Below are 18,163 nucleotides of genomic sequence, written 5' to 3' on the forward strand. Positions count from 1 at the left end.
GAATGAAATATATTCCATTTATGATGTGACACTTGTCAAAATTCATTTTTATTAAAGCTGGGTAAGTGGATATTATTTAATCTAATTAAGTAGCTACAAACTATAGGGAAAATTAGAATTTTTGAATTAAAATAGAGCAAAGGTGGTTGGAGGAAAGATAGCATGACTCAGAAACTGTTCATTCTTCAAGTAGATTGAGAAATAAAGCCGTTGATATGTATAACCATCCTTTGGGCTAAACTAAATGTGCACAGGGCATCTTCCCTCAGGGGTAAGGGGATACCATAACATGGTTCTCAAGACCTCTGGGAAGATCTGAGAGCTTCCATATTGTCCCTCAAATATCTGACCCAAGATATTCATACTTCAAATACCTTGCATAATGAAAATGCCCTTCTGACAGTCTTCTAAGCCATAATCAGTCAAGAAATATTTAGTGTGTGTGAACTGATATTACAACAGACTTTAAAGAGTAGAAAAAAAGAATTGAATTTGATAGTTGGGATTAAGGGAATATTGATAGCATCAAAAGTCACTATGCACTACATGTTCTACATTTGGCCTAAAATTGATGCTGGTCAGTATAACTGAAATCCTCACTTAGATTAATAAATTCATAATTTATATAACTATCCATTAGAAGATACATACGATGCATATCTATAAAAGCTGTCAGATGTAAACATTTCAGATGTGTACACACACACACACACACGCTTTGGTTTTCTATATTAAATTCACACTCCTGTTTTCTCAAGCAACCCCTCTATTTGTCTCTGCTCTTTAAAGCACCTCTGACTTGTCTTGCTTAAGCTAATGTGATTTACAATTAGCATTATTATAATTATTTGGCTTTATTTCTATCAAAAGTTTTCTTGACAAATTCATTTCTCACTTTGATTCAATATTAAAACATGGTCTTCTGTGGCAAAAAGTCCTTACCAGCAAACACTCTTTTCACACCAAAAAAGTGAGACTAAGATAATTGGCAAAATGCAAGAAGGTTGAAGATATGTACGTTCTTACTGGATCTTTGATCTTTAATTCTTTCACTTTTTGAGTTCTTTATCTATTAGCAATAAAATCTCCTTGTTTATTGTATATTTTGAATGTTTTGTCCTAGTTTGTCAATTACCTTTTGACTTTACTTATTTGTGTCATGCAAATGTTTTAATATTTATGTAGCCACAGTAAATCACATATTGTCTGGATTTTTAGTCATATTACAAAGACTTGTACTGCTTCACATTTAAAGAGGAATTTGCCCATCTATTATTCTAGTCTTCTATGGTTTAAATTTTTTTTGCATTTAGAGGCTTAATCCATCTGGAGTTTATGTATGGTGTGAGACATTTTATCTAAAGGCAGTCAGATGTTATGGTACCACTTATTTAAAAGCTCATCTTTCTCCAGTGATTTCAAATGTTTGTTGTGTCAATTACTCAAATTTCATAGATAGATAGATAGATAGGTGATAGACATATATGTATCCATGTGCCAGTAGTACACTGTTTTCATTACAGCAAATATTTATACTGTGTTTTGGTATTAGTAGAGCTTTTGATCCTAGGGCGGCTGTAACAAAGTACCACCAACTGGGGAGCTTAAAACAATAGAAATTTATTCTCTCACAATAATGTAAGCTAGAAGTCCTAAATCAAAGTGTTGGAGGGACCATGCTATCTTTGAGGGTATTAGAGAAGAAACTGTTCCATGCCCTTCTCTTAGCTTCTGGTGAAGCTACACATCCATGGCACTCTTTAGCTTGTAGACATACTACTACTATCTCTGCCTCCATCAACACATAGTATTCTCCCTGTGAGTCTATCTCTGTATCTTTTCTTTTAATGACACCAGTCATATTAGATTAAGGGTTCAACCTATTCCATTATGATTTAATTATATGTGCAATAACCTTATTTCCAAATGTCATACATGGATGTTCCAAAGGGTTACGATTTCATATATATTAATGAGAGACAAAATTAAACCCGTAATACCACCAACACATCATAGTTTTATGTTTTGTCTGTTTATTTTCCCCAGTATTTACCTGGCTATTATTGATTTGAATGTTTGGTTTTCCTTATAAACTCCAGAATCATCATCTTCAACTCCAAAAACAGCTGGTTGGAATTTTTATTGGAGTTAGGTTGTATTTATAAATTAATTTAGAGACACCTAATATCTTTATTCTAAAATCTTATCCAAGAACAGTGTTTATTCCATTTGTTCAAATCCGTTATTATTTTTTAACATTTTAACAGTATTTTAAATATTTTTTCACCTAGGTTTTATACATTGTTATCAAATGTGGAAAGGGGCAGGATTTGATGTGTGAAATTGTCTCCTTGCTTACATCAACTTTTTTTTATTTTAAAATATTTTTATATTAGTGTGTTTTACAAGAGTTCTAGTTTATTGGCACCTTTTTCTGTTAGTTTAGTACTTTATTGGCAATATTTTTGTTTGTTTGCTTCTTTAATTTAGTGGTGGGTATGGGTTGCCCACAACACCAGAGAGGTTAGCTCTGATTTTGTGGTTTTCAACTTTTGTTTTTCTTTTTCTTTGCTGAAGATTGGCTATTTCTTTCACTTTGCCTTTTTAAAAAATCTCCCAAAACTATGTGTTTAGAAGACAGTCTCTTTAAGACATGCCTGTCTTTTAAAAGCATCTTTTACTGGCATACACCTTCAATTTTCCCAGAAGTTTTCTGGGAATATGTGCTTATTCCTATCTGTAAGTTAGTCTATAACAAAGTTTCTATTAATATGCTCATGGGAAATGGTTAAGGTGCAATGTGGTACCAGAAAGACAGATTCTTAACTGATATACCAACATTAAATGATCTACCAACATTAAATGCCTTTATTGATTTTCATGCTATATAAACACAAATTCTTTCCAGTTAGCAGAAGTGACTATCCATTTTTACCTCTTCAATGGTATTAATATTAGTCATGCACCAGCTATCGTACTGTGTGTTGGCTTTAATAATGTGACGTGGTCCTGATTCTGGCAAACAGTGCCCAGAAAGTGGCTTTTTCAAAAACATGATCCTGCCATGGTGTCTTTCTTCTTTACAGTTGTCTACTAGACTGTGTCTTTGATAACTAAGATGCTTTTTAAATATATATGTTTGTAATTTGATGATTAAAATAATTAGACTGTCTAAAGCTGTTTGTCCCATTGAAGACAATCATGCAGTTAAAAAATATCTGATGGAAAGCTAACACATATTAACAATAAATAAAAATTGTACTGAAATAAATACAAATATAAAAATAATTTACAAAATACAATTTTCAAATGATCTTCATTTAAAAGAAAAACCTAATGTGAGAAAATTACATCTAATTAAAGGCTTTAGACATTTTCTCAGAGTATATTTCAAGTAAATTCTACCTTAACATACATTATTGACATTTTATAAAGGGATATGCTTGCAAATATTGAAACACAAAAATAGATATATTCAAAAGTTTTTCAGGGGGCAGCCACTTTTTACTAACTATCTGTTTGATTAAAATACAAACTATATCACTTTTAAATTAATAAAACATATTTATAAATTTGAATTGTATAATAAAACAAATCAAGATTATCATCATATCTGCCCTAATGGTGTGTGTTAAATAAAACTGTTAAAATTATTAAATGTGTGTTAAGCGTGTATACAAAGCACTGCATAATTTTATATCCCAAAGGGTGTTTAAATCATCTTTTACTGTATTACTCAAGTATCTCCACAGTAAAGACATATGTCAAAACAAACTCTCGGTGCACAAAACAAGGGACTTTTATAATGGTATTAGAAGATTCTGCAAAGTATAAGCCTAACTACCAAAAAGGAAATTTTTCTTACTTTTTGAATTAATTAACTTTAATAAACTTCTATTTTCAAGCAGGTATAATTTATATATATTCAAGCAATTTCAGAAATGTCGCTTGGGATCATTGGAACATAGAACACCTTTTCTATTCCCTGATTATTCATCCATGGTCTTGCTAATTAAAGAATCATTCTACTTACAAGAGGACTGACTCAATCTGCTGTCCTGATTTCTTCAGACTACTCTACATGGCTTTTCTTCCCCTTTCTTTGTTCTGTCTCTGTCCCGCTTATTCTCTCATGGCTCTCTTAATTACATTCTGTTCCAGTGAAATATATCTTCATTCCACTATCTGTATTTTCTAATTAAATTTTATTTTAAGTTATATTTGTGCCCTGTTTCAATTAAATATTGCAAAGGAAGTCAGGATTGAGAAGAGACCTAGAAGCAAGTAAGAAATATGTGAGTAATATTTCCAGATAATCTATACTATTCCTTAAATGATAAATGAAAATTATAAAAGTATCCTAGAGATGTAGGTTAAATAAAAAACATATGAATTATTTTCAGAACATTAGATATTGGATCAAAAGGTACAACCAAAGGTGGCATCAAATTAAATTCAATGTTTTTCAACCCAAGAAAAAAATAAACAAATCGTAGAGACATCTTTCATTTTCCCACATTTAACCTCAAAGTAGGCTTTTCAGTTGAAGAGCGGTTGCCATTCATGTGAAGAACATTCCTTGCTATCCGTTGTGATACTATTATTATACTCTAAGTTAATTGACAAATCTTGAATTAGAAACAAACATTGGGAAAATTAATATGGAAGGGTATTGTTTTCTAACCTATGGCCATTAAATAATCAGTATTCTTAGACTGAGTATAAGTTACAATTTTAGGCCACAGTTTAACATTTTGTAAATAGTAACTATCCCAGCTTATTATGGTTGTACATTAATTCCTGTGACCCTTGGTATGTTTATCTTGTCATTTTCCTCTCTTTCATATATATACCCTATACTAATGATGAAGTAATTTTTTGAACAGAATACGTAAAGAGCAAAACAAAATATTTTACCTATCGACTATTCGCAAGCTGAGTACTCCAATTTCTACAGTCCTCTCAGCTAACAATTGAGCTTTGATCAATAGTAATAGAATTAAACCCTGAGATAAAATAAACACAAATTCTATCCTATAGTAAGAAAAAGAGTTATTATATGAAATACTTTGATTTTGGCAACATTTATCCAATTTTATTTTCTGTCACTATGATACATAAATCTTTTGTTTTTTCAAATTTCACCTTTACAATTTTAGTCATTTCTCTTGTTGCAACACCTAAAGAATTGGTAAACATTATAGATGATTTAAAACAAACATTTTATCTTGCAGGCATAATTTAAAAAGTTCAACTTTCTCTCTCTCTTTCTCTCTCTCTCCATATATATATATGGCCATAAAACATATTGAATCTGGTGACCCACATGAATTTCAAAATTGTTTTGTAAGATGTATGACTTGCTTTATCTTAAAATTCTATCTTTTGGGTAAGAAATAAAACCAGCAATGTAATTTAAATAAACCAACAGTAAATAATATTTAAAATATAATTAAACATTAAAACATAAAAAGGTCAATCTTTTCTAAAATTTAGAGTTTCTCTACATGTAAGGCTAATTAACATTATTTCAAGTAATAATTAGTAGTCAGCAGTATATTTTACTTTCCACAAATCATGCTGTAATGTCAACAGAACTTAATTCAGTTTTGAAGACTTGTGTTGATCTTTACCATTACACTGAAATATAGTGTTAACTGTGAGGTCATGGTCAGGTGACTTCATCTATGTCTTTTTTCTATCTTAAAATACTTATGAGAGACCTCTGCTTCAAGACAGAATGTTCTAGCAGTTAAACACTCATACTGACTTATAGAGAAAACTATGGGTTTTATCTTAAAGACATATTTAAAGGCATCCAGAGAGCTATGAAAAAAAATGTTAAATGAACTAAAATTCCAGAAAGGGAAAATATCTTCTGAGGTGAGCTAAGCAACATGCAGCCACTTCTATTTTAAATAAGTGTGTCAGAGCTTCTTGGATTTGGGCTAAAACTCTTGCTTTGGTAGAGAAAGTAAGCTGATAGAGCAAGAAGAAATAACTCTTAGAGGTTCTGTAGAGATGGAGCAAAAAACGCTGGATATGAAAGAAATCTCAAGTAAATACACTATCAGTCCTATCATTAATTTATTTGCTATAATTTAAAGGCTGAAAATCCCAAAAGCTAAAGAGTTAAGCTGAAAATATCTAATGGGCAGAACTGAATTTCCCACAGTCTTTCAGGAACAAGTAGGAAAAGCAAAGGAAAACAAACAAACAAATAAAAACAAACAACAGATCCTGCCAGCCTCTTAAAAATAAGGAGGAGAAAATCTAAACTTACCAAGGCTGTATTTTTGCCAAGACCTAGCTCAATCTGAAGCTTTATCAATGTGCTCAGATTCTCATTGTGTTTGTATAATGGAGGAAAAGAGGGATGTTCCCTGGTAGATGATAACATTATTGGGGCCTCCATAGTTCTTCTATACAAGGTGCATAGATATGGTTAAGAATTGTCAAACATGCAAAGAAACAAAGATATATTGACTACCAAGTATAAAAACATACAGGATCATTAACATAACAAATAATGCAGGAAGTAATGTTAAAAAATGACTTTGAAATAACTAAAAATAATATACAGGCATGTCTCAGATATATTGTGTGTTCAGTTCCAGATCGTTGCAATAAAGCTAATACTACAATAAAGTGAGCCACACATTTTTTTGGCTTCCCAGTTTAAATAATGCTGTGTTTACAATATAGTATTGTCTATTAAGTGTGCAATCACATTATGTCAAAAATGTACATACCTTAATTTAAAAATAGTATATTGCTAGAAAATGCTAATAAAAATCTGAGCCTACAGCAAATTGTAATCTTTTTGCTGATTAAAGGTCTTGCAATGATGGTGCCTGATTGATCAAAGCGGTCACTACTGAAAGTGAGGGTGGTTGTGGCAATTTTTAAAAATAAGACAACAAAGAAGTTTGCAGCATTGATTGACTCTTCCTTTCACAAAAGGTTCCTCTGTAGCATGCAATGCTGTTTGGTAGCATTTTACCCACAGTAGAACTCCTTTGAAAATTGGAGTGAATCCTCTCAACCCCTACCACTGCTTAGTCAACAAAGTTTATATAATATTCAAAATCTGTGTTGTCATTTCAACAATGTTCACAGTATCTTCATTGGGAGATTTATCTCAAGAAACCACCTTTTTTGCTCATTCATAAGAATCTTCTGATGCATTAAAGCTTTATCTTGAGATTGCAGCAATTCAGTCACGTCTTCAGGATCCACTTCTAATTCTACTTCTCTTATTTCCAACACATCTGTAGTTAATTTCTGTACTGAAGGCTTGATTCTCTTAAAGTCTTCCATTGGAGTTGAAATCAATTTATCCCAAGCTCCAGTTAGTATTGTTATTTTGGCCTCCTCTCATGAATCATGAATTTTCTTAATGGCATCTAAAATGGTTGAATCCTTTTTAGAAGGTTTTATATTAACTTTGTCCAGATCCCCCAGAGAAATCACTATCTATGGCAGCTATAATCTTACCAAATGTATTTCTTAAATAAAAGGACTTTAAAGTTGAAATTACTCCTGATTCATGGGCTGCAGAATGGATGTTGTGCTATCAGGCATGAAAACAACATTAGTCTCCTTGTGCATCTTCATCAGAGCTCTCAGGTGTCTACGTGCATGGTCAATGAACAGTAATATTTTGAAAAAAAAAGAAAAAAAAAAAACCTTTGTTTCTGAGAAGTACTCTCCAAAATGTGCTTAATATATTCAGTAAACCATGCTGTAAATAGATGTGTTGTCATCCAGAATTTATTGTTCCATTTCTAGAGCACAGCTAAAGTTAAATTAGCATAATTTTTAAGAGGCCTAAAATTTTTAGAATGACAAATGAGCACTGGCTTCAACTTTATTTGACCAGCTGTGTTAGCCCCTAACAAGTGAGTCAGAATATGCTTTGAGGGTTGAAACTAAGCATTGACTTCTCCTCTCTAGCTATGAAAGTCCTAAATGACAAATTCTTCCAAAAGAAGGTTGTTTTATCTACATTATAAATCTTTGATGTAGCTACCTTCATAAATTATCTTAGCTAGGTTTTCTGGATAACTTGCTGCAATTTCTACATCAGCACTTGCTGGTTCTCCTTGCAGTTTTATGATATACAGATGGATTTTTCTTTTAAAACCTCATGAATCAACCTTTGCTAGCTTTCAACTTTCCTTCTGCAGCTTCCTTACCTCTCCCAATCTTCATAGAATTGAAAAGAGTTAGGGTCTTCATTGAAGTTAGGCTTTGGCTTATAGGAATGTTGTGGCTGGATTTATCTTCTATCCAGATCACTACAATTTCCTCTATTTCAACAATACGCTGTTTCATTTTCTTATCATTTGTGTCTTCACTGGGGCATCACTTTCAATTTTCTTTTTTTATTCACAGCATGGCTAGCTATTTGGCACAAGAGGCCTAGATATCAACCTATTTTGGATTTTGGCATGCCTTCCTCATTAAGCTTAATCATTTATAGCTTTGACATAAAGAGAGAGATGTGTGACTCTTCCCTTTACTTGAACACTTAGAGACTATTGTAGAGTTACTAACTGGCCTAAATCCAATATTGCTGTGTCTAGGGAATAGGAAGACCTGAGGTGCCAGAGAGACATGGGGAAACAGCTGGTCACTGGAGCAGTCAGAACACATACAACATTTATTGATTAAGTTTGCCATCTTATATGGGTGCAGTTTGTAGCATCCCAAAACAATTACGATAGCAATATGAAAGATCACCATAATAGATATAATAACAAAAATGGAAATATTGTGAGAATTATCAAAATATGATACATACACAAAGTGAGCACATGTTGTTGGAAAAATGACACCAATAGACTTATTCAATGCATGGTTGCTACAAAACTTCAATTTTTAAAAGTCACGATGTATGTGAAGCACAATAAAGAAAAGCGTGAAAAAATGAGGTATGCCTGTACAATAAAAACAACATAATGGAAAGTATATATAAAACACATAAAAGGATGGATGATTTTACCCAGCAATTAGCATTTATTTACAGAAAAGTCATTATAGAGCTAAAACTTATAATATTTGATATTATCAACTCAACAATGTCTTAAAGTAAGTTGATCAAAGCTAAACACAGGATTAGTCATCAGAAACATGAGCCAAAAAAAAAGGGTACCACCTGATGCTCTATGAGCAAAATAATGTAAAAAAATGATGTGTAAAAAATATGTAGAACATGCACAATAGGCTAAGAAATGTGTGGCTTCAAATACTAAGACCAGGATGGTATCTGGGACAGAAGCATTGTTAGAATATGTAACAGCAGAGGATTTTTCCAAAACTAAAAGACATCAACCTACAGATTCATCAACCTCATGGTATGCAGAGAGGTTTGGAATATTATAGAAAAACTTTCAAGAACCAAAGTAAAAATGGGAAAACTTAAATGCAGCCTAGAGATTTAAGATGCCTTGCACTGACTGCACAACTCAACCAACGACAGCTGGAAGACAATGGAATAACACATTTAAAGTACTGAAGGAAAATAACTGCTATAATTGTAAACCTAGTGAAATTTTCTCAAAAATGAAGATATAATAAAGATATTTGCAGACAAACAAAAATTGAAAAAAGTTATAAGTGATTCTGCATTAAAAACATATCCAAGGAAGTTCTTCTGGTAGAGGGTACATTTTAACAGTCCAAACCAACTAAACTCAGGAGTATAATAAATAAAAGAAAGGTAGACATTGTATATATGTGTGTGTGTGTGTATGTGTGTGTGTGTGTGCGTGTAGCTATAGATAACTCCATATTCACTTAAATTGATTTAAATCAATATTGGCTTAATATTGACTTAACATCAATTTATGTACATAGTAGAGACTAAAATATGTGTGCTATTGAAATACGTGAAAATATAATGCAAAGTTGAAAGGAGTAATTGGACTTGAAGTGTTTCAATATTCTATTTTATCATAGGATCGTCAAAATAAATAATTTTCATTGACTATAGTATTCAAGAATGAATATTGTATTTTTCAGGTAGTGGCTCTTGCTGAGGGGAAATTTTGTCCCCAAGGGATATTTGGTAATGTGTAAAACTCTCTTTTGGATGGAACAATGGGAGATGAAGTGCGTACTTAACAGGCATCTAGTGAGTAGAAGTCAGGAATACTTTTAAACATCATACAAAACACAATAGCACCCACACAACAAAGAATTATTCAACTAAAATATCAACAGTACCAAGAATGAAATAATCTGCTGTAGGGTAACCACTAAATCATAACAAAAATGTGCAAGTAGCAAATGGACTACTAGAAAAATATGATAATAAAATATGTGATTAATACTATGACAGGGAGAAAGAGTAACAGAAAATAGGTGGGTTAAGGAGAAAACAAGTAGAAAAATGCTAAATATACAACGAACTATATTAGTAATTAAAATATATGTAGACTAACTATTCCAAATAAAAAAAAATAAGATTTGAGTCTGGGAAAACAGCATCACAATTATATGCATAATACAAGGCACACTCAAACTATAAAGATGTAGAAAGAATAAGCACAAATGTTCATTAAAAAACTATAATGAAAACTCTGACCAAAGTTTATCTTTTTAGCTATACAAATGTAGACCCAGTAAATAATTAGGAAAAAAAATTAATTGAGAAAGATTGGCATTTCAAAATGATAAGAAAGTTAATCCTACAGTAAGACATCACAATATTCAATCTATAAGCTTACAATAAATGGCTTCAAAGGATATTAATCATCACTTGGCAGAACTAAAAGAAAAAGTTAAATAATCTACAATATGATCATGAATTATAAATGGACTTCTCTTAAAAAAATAAAAACAATTAATTAAGGTTTTAAAAGATCTGATAACACAATTGGGAAACTTGAACTAGCTGACACTATAAAAATATATATTCAATTTCTACAGAATTCAAATGCTTTCAAGGGCCTATGGATTGTTTACCAAAGTCAACAATATGCTAGTTAGTAAGAAAAGCCGCAAAAAATATCAAAGGCTTTCAATCATTCAGAAGTTATTATTTGATACAACAGAGATCCTACTAGACATAGACGATTTAAAAAAAAATTTGAAAAGTCTCCTATTGCATATAGAATTATTATATAATCTATGGGTTAAGGAAGAAATTATAATTTAAATTATAAAAAACATTTCAAACCATTATATTTACATTTTCAGTTTTATAATAATATTCTGCTATGGATGAGTTCTTACATGGGTATATTAAGTTTTGCAAATTCATCATGCTTTATATTTGAGAACTATAATTTTCTGCATGTATACATATATACATACAGTATTTGAATAGGAAGTTACTAACTGTGATGGTTAATAATGATTGTCAATTTGATTGGATTGCAGGTTACAAATACTGATCTTGGGTGTGTCTGTGAGGTTGCTGCCAAAGGAGATTAACATTTGAGTCAGTGAGCTGGGAAAGGCAGACCCACCCTTAATCTGGGTGGGCACGATCTAATCAGTTGCCAGTACGGCTAGAATATAGGCAGGCAGAAAAATGTGAAAAGGGAGAGTGAGCTAGCTTCCCAGCCTACATCGTTCTCCCATGCTGGATGCTTCCTGCCCTCTAACATGGAACTCTAAGTTCTTCAGTTTTGAAAGTTGGAATGGCTCTCCTTGCTCCTAAGCCTGCAGACAGACTTTTGTAGGACCTTGTGATCATATGAGTTAATACTTAATAAACTCATATATATATATATATATGCAGTCCTCATATATGTAAAAATGTATTCCATTAGTTCTGTCTCTCTAGAGAAACCTGACTAATACACTAACAAATATAGTCTCAAATGTTATGTTACTCAATTTATGTATATAATTCAACTTTAAATCAAAATTAAATTGTCCAATTTATGAATTTGATTTAGCATTAATCTTAAGAAGAAAACGTTGCTCTAAAACCAATCTGATCTTATTCTACTTAGTACATTACCATTTAATGTATTCATGTTCTGTTTTCTATGACTGTCTTACCCTATGTTTTTGTGTGTGTGTTTCTCTTACCTCTTTCATGGACATCTATTTTGAATTACTTCTTTTCTAAATTATTGAATGTATTATTCCTATTGTGTTTTACTTTCCATTAGTGGCTACACTAAGGAATAAAACATGCATCACTTATTTATTACACTACAAGTTATTACTTTTACTGATTGATAGACAATACTAGAACTTTACATAATTTATCTCCATTTATCAGCTGACTGTCATGTTACTGTTGTTGACTATACTCATTCTATATTTATTTAGGCTTGAGATTATTTTTACTTCTGTTATGTTTTTAAGCTATATTAAGGTATAATTGCCAAATTTTAAAATGTATATATTTTTGGTGTACAACATGATGTTTTGATATATGTATAGATTACAAAATGAAGAAGTCAAGCTAAATAACATATCCATCTCCTCACATACTTAATCATTTTCTGTAGTAAAAACATTTAACATCTACTCTTTTAACAATTTTCAGGTATAAATTATTATAATAAAAATACATTATTATTAACTATAGTCACCATGCTGTATAATAGATTTCCAAAACGTATTCATTCTGTTTAACTAAAACTTTCTAGCCTTTGACCAACTTCACCACATTTCTTCTTTTTCCCCTTCCAAGTCAATGTCAACCACTGTTCTATTTTCTGCTTTTACAAGTTTGACATTTTCAGATTTCACCTAAAAGTAAGCTCATGCAGAACTTATCTTTGTGTGCCTGGCTTATTTCACTTACAATAATGTCCTCCAGGTTTAATCATGTTTTTTACAAGTGACAGGATTTCCCTCTTCTTTAAGGCTGAATAGTATTCCATCTCACACACACACACACACACACACACACACACACAAACACACACACACACCAAATATTCCACATCCATTCATCCACTGATGGGCACTTATATTGATTCCATATCTTGGCTATTGTAAATGTTAGAAGAAAAACTCCAGACAAATTAAAATTAGTAGAGTTTGTTTCAACAAAAAATGATTCATGAATAGGGCAACACTCAGAAACAGGAGAGGTTCAGACAGCTATACCCAGCAATGTGAGTAGGCAGCATTTATAGGCAGAAAAAGGAAGTAACATACAAAAACAACTTGATTGGTTACAGCTCAACATTTGTCTTATTTGGTCATTATGTGACCAATTGGCAGCCTGTGATTGGCTATGACTTAGCTATCTGTTACAAAAACATACTTTGTTAGGTTGCAGTTTGCTGTGTATAAAGGAAGGTTTAGGACAAATTTAATTTAATTTAATATGAATAATGCTGCCATGAACCTGGGGGTGCAGCTATTTCTTTGGCATATTGATTTTGATTCCTCTAGATACATACTCAGAAGTAGAATTGTTGAATCACATGCAATAGTAGTTCCTCCTTATCCATCAGGTATACATTCCAAGACCTTCAGTGGATGCCTGAAACCGCAGATAGTATTAAACCCTATATATACTACGCACAAATTTATTTTTTCCTTCTTCATAATTTCACAGAAGATTCAGTCTTACCATATATCTCATCAACCTCAGAATGTTTATTTTTTCCTTATTAAGTAGAGAACTTTCACTTTTTCACTAAAGAGAGCACTTTATGGCTTCTCTTTGGCATAACTGAATTATCAGCATCACTACTTTTGTGCTTTGCAGCTGTTAAAGTAAAATACTGGTCACTTAAACACAAGCACTGCAAAACACATCAGTTGATCTGATAATCAAGATGGCTACTAGGTGACTAATTGCACATAGCACATACGGCATGCATATGCTAAACAAAGGGATAACTAATGTTCTGGGAGGGACAGAGTGGGACAGCATGAGAGTTTCTTACATTACTCAGAAAAACATTGAATTTAAAATTTATGAATTGTTTCAGGAATTGTATATTGAATATTTTAAAACTGAGGTTGACTGGGGATAACTGAGACAAGGGAAGCAAAAACCTGAAAGAGTGGAGATCTATTGTAATTCCATTTTATTTTTTTGAGAAATTTATTTACTGTTTTTTCATAATGAGTGCACTCATTTACATTCACACATGCAATGTATGAGTGTTCCTTTTTCTCCCCATCCTCACCAGCACTTGTTATTTTATTTTTATAATGAACATTCTAACTGGTGTGATAAAACATCTAATTTAGTTTTGAGTTACACTTTTCTGATGATCCATGATTTTTAGATTTTCTCATGAATCTGGTAGTCATTTTTATGTTGTATTTTTTAAAAAATGTTGATTAAAGATGGGTTATTATCTTGTCTTTGCTATTGAGTTGTAAGCTGTCGAATTTTTAAATGTATTTTAACTATTAACCATTTTTCCAACAAATTGTTTGCAAATATTTTTTCCATACATTAGGTTGCTTTTTCACACTAATGCCAGTTCCTTTTGCTGTGTAAAAGCACTTTGGTTGATCTAATCTCATTTGTCTATTTTTACAATTGTTGTCTGTGTTATAGCAGTTACGTTCAAAGAAATCTTTTCCCAGTGATATGGTTTGGCTGTATCCCCACCCAAATCTCATCTTGAATTGTAGCTCCCATAATTCCCATGTATTGTGGGAGGAACCCAGTGGGAGATGATTGAATCATGGGGGCAGTTTCCACCATACTGTTCTTGTGGTAGTCAATGTCTCATGAGAGCTGATGGTTTTATAAGGGGAAAGCCCTATTGCTGGACTCCCATTTTCTTCTCTTGTCTGCCGCCATGTGAGAAGTGCCTTTCACCTTTAGCCATGATTGTAAGGCCTCCCCAACCATGTGGGACTGTGAGTCCATTAAACGTCTTTCTTTTGTAAGTTGCCTAATCTCCGGTATGTCTTTATCAGCAATGTGAAAACAGACTAATAAAGTTCATTGGTATCAGAAGAGTGGGGCACTGCTGAAAAGAGGCTCGAAAATGTGAAAGCAACTTTACAACTGGGTAACAGGTGGAGGTTGGAACAGTTTGAAGGGCTCAGAAGAAAACAGGAAAATGAGTGAAACTTAAGAACCTCCTAGAGTCTTATTGAATGGCTTTGAATGGAATGCTGATAATGATTGGACAATGAAATCCAGGCTGAGATGGTCTCAGATGGAAATAAGGAACTTTTTGGGAACTTGAGCAAAGGTAACTCTTGTTATGTTTTAACAAAGAGACTGACATAATTTTGCCCCTGCCCTAGAGACTTGTGGAACTCTGAACTTGAAGGAGATGATCCACAGAAGTTCAGAAAATTTGCAGCCTGATGATGTTATAGAAAAGAAAAATCCATTTTCTGAGGAGAAATTTGAGCCAGCTGCAGAAATTTGTGTAAGTAATGAGGAGACAAATGTTAACCACTAAGACAGTAAGAAAAATATCTCCAGGGCATGTCAGAGGTCTTCATGGCAGGCCCCCGCATCAAAGGCCTGGAGGCCTAGGAAAAAGAAATGGTTTTGTGGGCTGGGTACAGGGTCCCCCTGCTGTGTAATGCCTAGAGATATGGTGCCCTGTTTCCAGCTGCTACAGCTGGGGCTGAAGGGGGCCAATGTAAAGCTTGGGCTGTGGCTTCAGAGGGTTCAAGCCCCAAGCATTGGCAGCTTCCACATGCTGTTGAGTCTTTGAGTGCAAAGAAGTCAAGAATTGGCATTTGGGAACCTCTGCCTAGATTTCAGACCATGTATACAAATTCCTGGACGTCCAGGCAGAAGTTTGATACAGAGATAGGGCCCTCACGGAGAACGTCTGCTAGGGCAGTGCTGAAGGGAAGTGTGGGGTTGAAGCCCCACACAGAGTCCCCACTGGGGTGCTGCCCAGTGGAGCTGTGAAGAGGGCCACCATCCTCCAGATCCCAGAATGATACGTCCACAGACAGCTTGCACCGTGCACCTGGAAAAGCCAGACATTCAACACCATCTTGTGACAGCAGCCATGGGGGAGGCTGTACCCTGCAAAATCACAGGAGTGGAGCTGCACAAGACCATGGGAACCCACCTCTTGCATCAGTGTGACCTGGATGTGAGCCATGGAATCAAAGGAGATCATTTTGAAGCTTTAATATTTGACTCCTCCACTGGATTTCAAAGGGGCTATAGGCCCCTTTGTTTTGGCCAATTTCTCCTATTTGGAATGACTATATTTACCCAATGCCTGTACCCCCATTGTATCTAGGAAGTAACTAACTTGCTTTTGATTTTACAGGCTCATAGGTGGAAGGGACTTGCCTTGTCCCAGATAAGACTTTGGACTATGGATTTTTGAGTTAATGCTGAAATAACTTAAGACTTTGGGGGACCGTTGGGAAGGCATGATTGGTTTTGAATGTGAGGACATGAGATTTGGATGGGGCCAGGTATAGAATGATATGGTTTGGCTGTGTCCTCACCCAAATCTCACCTTGAATTGTAGCTCCCATACTTCTTTCATGTTGTCGGAGGGACCCAGTGTGAAATGATGGAATCATGGGGATGGTTTTCCCCATACTGTTTGTGTAGTAGTGAGTAAGTCTCACGAGATTTGATGGTTTTATAAGGAGAAACCCTTTATTTGGCTCTCATTATCTTATCTTGTCTTCCACCATGTGAGACATGCCTTTCACCTTTAGCCATGATTGTGAGGATTCCCCAGCCATGTGAACTGTGAGTCTATTAAACCTCTTTCTTTTGTAAATTTCTTTGTCTCAGGTATGTCTTTTTTTTTTTTTTTTTTTTTTTTTTTTTTTTTGAGACGGAGTCTCGCTCTGTCGCCCAGGCCAGACTGCGGACTGCAGTGGCGCAATCTCGGCTCACTGCAAGCTCCGCTTCCCGGGTTCACGCCATTCTCCTGCCTCAGCCTCCCGAGTAGCTGGGACTACAGGCGCCCGCCACCGCGCCCGGCTAATTTTTTTTGTATTTTTTTTAGTAGAGACGGGGTTTCACCTTGTTAGCCAGGATGGTCTCGATCTCCTGACCTCATGATCCACCCGCCTCGGCCTCCCAAAGTGCTGGGATTACAGGCTCAGGTATGTCTTTATCAGCAGTGTGAAAATGAACTAATACACCCAGCAAGGGTGTATTAGCACCCAGTAAGGATGCTTTTTTTTTTTATTTTTCTTCTAGTACTTTTAGAGTATTACATCTTATGCTTAAGTCTTTATTCATTTTGAGTTGATTTTTATATATAATGTGAGATATGGGTCCAATATTATGCTTCTGCATGTGAATATCTAGTTTTCACAACACCATTTACTGAAGAGACTATCCTTTCCCCATTGTGTGTATTGGCAATTTTTTCAAACATCAATTGACCGTACATGCTGGATTTATTTCTGGCTTCTCTATCCTGTTCAACTGGTAGATATGTCTGTTTTTATGCTAGTCCCATGCTGTTTTATGACTATAGCTTTGCAGTATATCTGGAGATGAGGTAGTGTGATGTCTCCAGTTTTATTTTTTTACTCAATATTACTTTGGCTAGTTAGAGTGTTTGGTGGTTGGCTACATATTTTATAATTATTTTTCTATTTCTATGAAAAATGCCATTGGGATGTTGAGAAGGATTGCATTTAGTCTGTACCAATTTGTGTAGTATGGATATTTTAACAATTATAATTCTTCCAATTCATGAATGCAAAGTATTTTTCCACATATTTTTCTCCTTCAATTTTTTTCATCAATATTTTACAAGTTTAAGTGTATAGCCAGAACCATCACAACCAACCCAGTGGGTGTCCTCACACTCACTCATTAGGGGAGGTCTTCTCCCAATAAAGACAGCTTGGAAAGTCTAGAAGAAATGACTACTTTATCAAATGAGCAGACATTAATGAAATGCAATAAGAAATATTTTTAAATAAAAGGAAACATCACCACAAAAAGACCACAATAATTTCCCAGTAACTGATCCCTAAAAATGGATCTATAAATTTCCTGACAACTAATTTAAAATAATTGTTTAAATAAAGCTCAATGAACTTAGGAAAACATAGAGAGAAAATGTAATGGTATCAGAAAAATAATAAGCAAACAAAATGAGAATTTTAACTGAGAGAGTAAAGTTATATAAAAGAACCAAGCAGAAATTCTGGAGCTGAATAATACAAGAAATGAAATAAAAAATCCAGTCGAGCACATTAACAGTAGAAATGTTCAAATAGAAGAAATTATCTTTGAACTCCAGAATAG

At 33.7% G+C, this 18,163-nt stretch overlaps 1 long non-coding RNA gene across 4 annotated transcripts in view; it reads right to left on the reverse strand.

Annotated features, from left to right (window-relative positions):
* The window catches only part of LINC02476 (long intergenic non-protein coding RNA 2476), a 287,946-nt gene that overhangs the window by 183,686 nt on the left and 86,097 nt on the right, over positions 1-18,163 (reverse strand). The window contains exon 2 of one of the 4 annotated variants that reach the window (NR_131960.1): positions 13,383-13,465. The exons of the other annotated variants lie outside the window; for them this stretch is intronic. This is a non-coding gene — a long non-coding RNA (long intergenic non-protein coding RNA 2476). The remainder of the gene's footprint in view (positions 1-13,382; positions 13,466-18,163) is intronic. 4 annotated transcript variants of the gene reach the window in all.

This window comes from Homo sapiens, chromosome 7 (assembly GCF_000001405.40).
Source record: "Homo sapiens chromosome 7, GRCh38.p14 Primary Assembly".
Classification (NCBI taxonomy): Eukaryota; Metazoa; Chordata; class Mammalia; order Primates; family Hominidae; genus Homo; species Homo sapiens.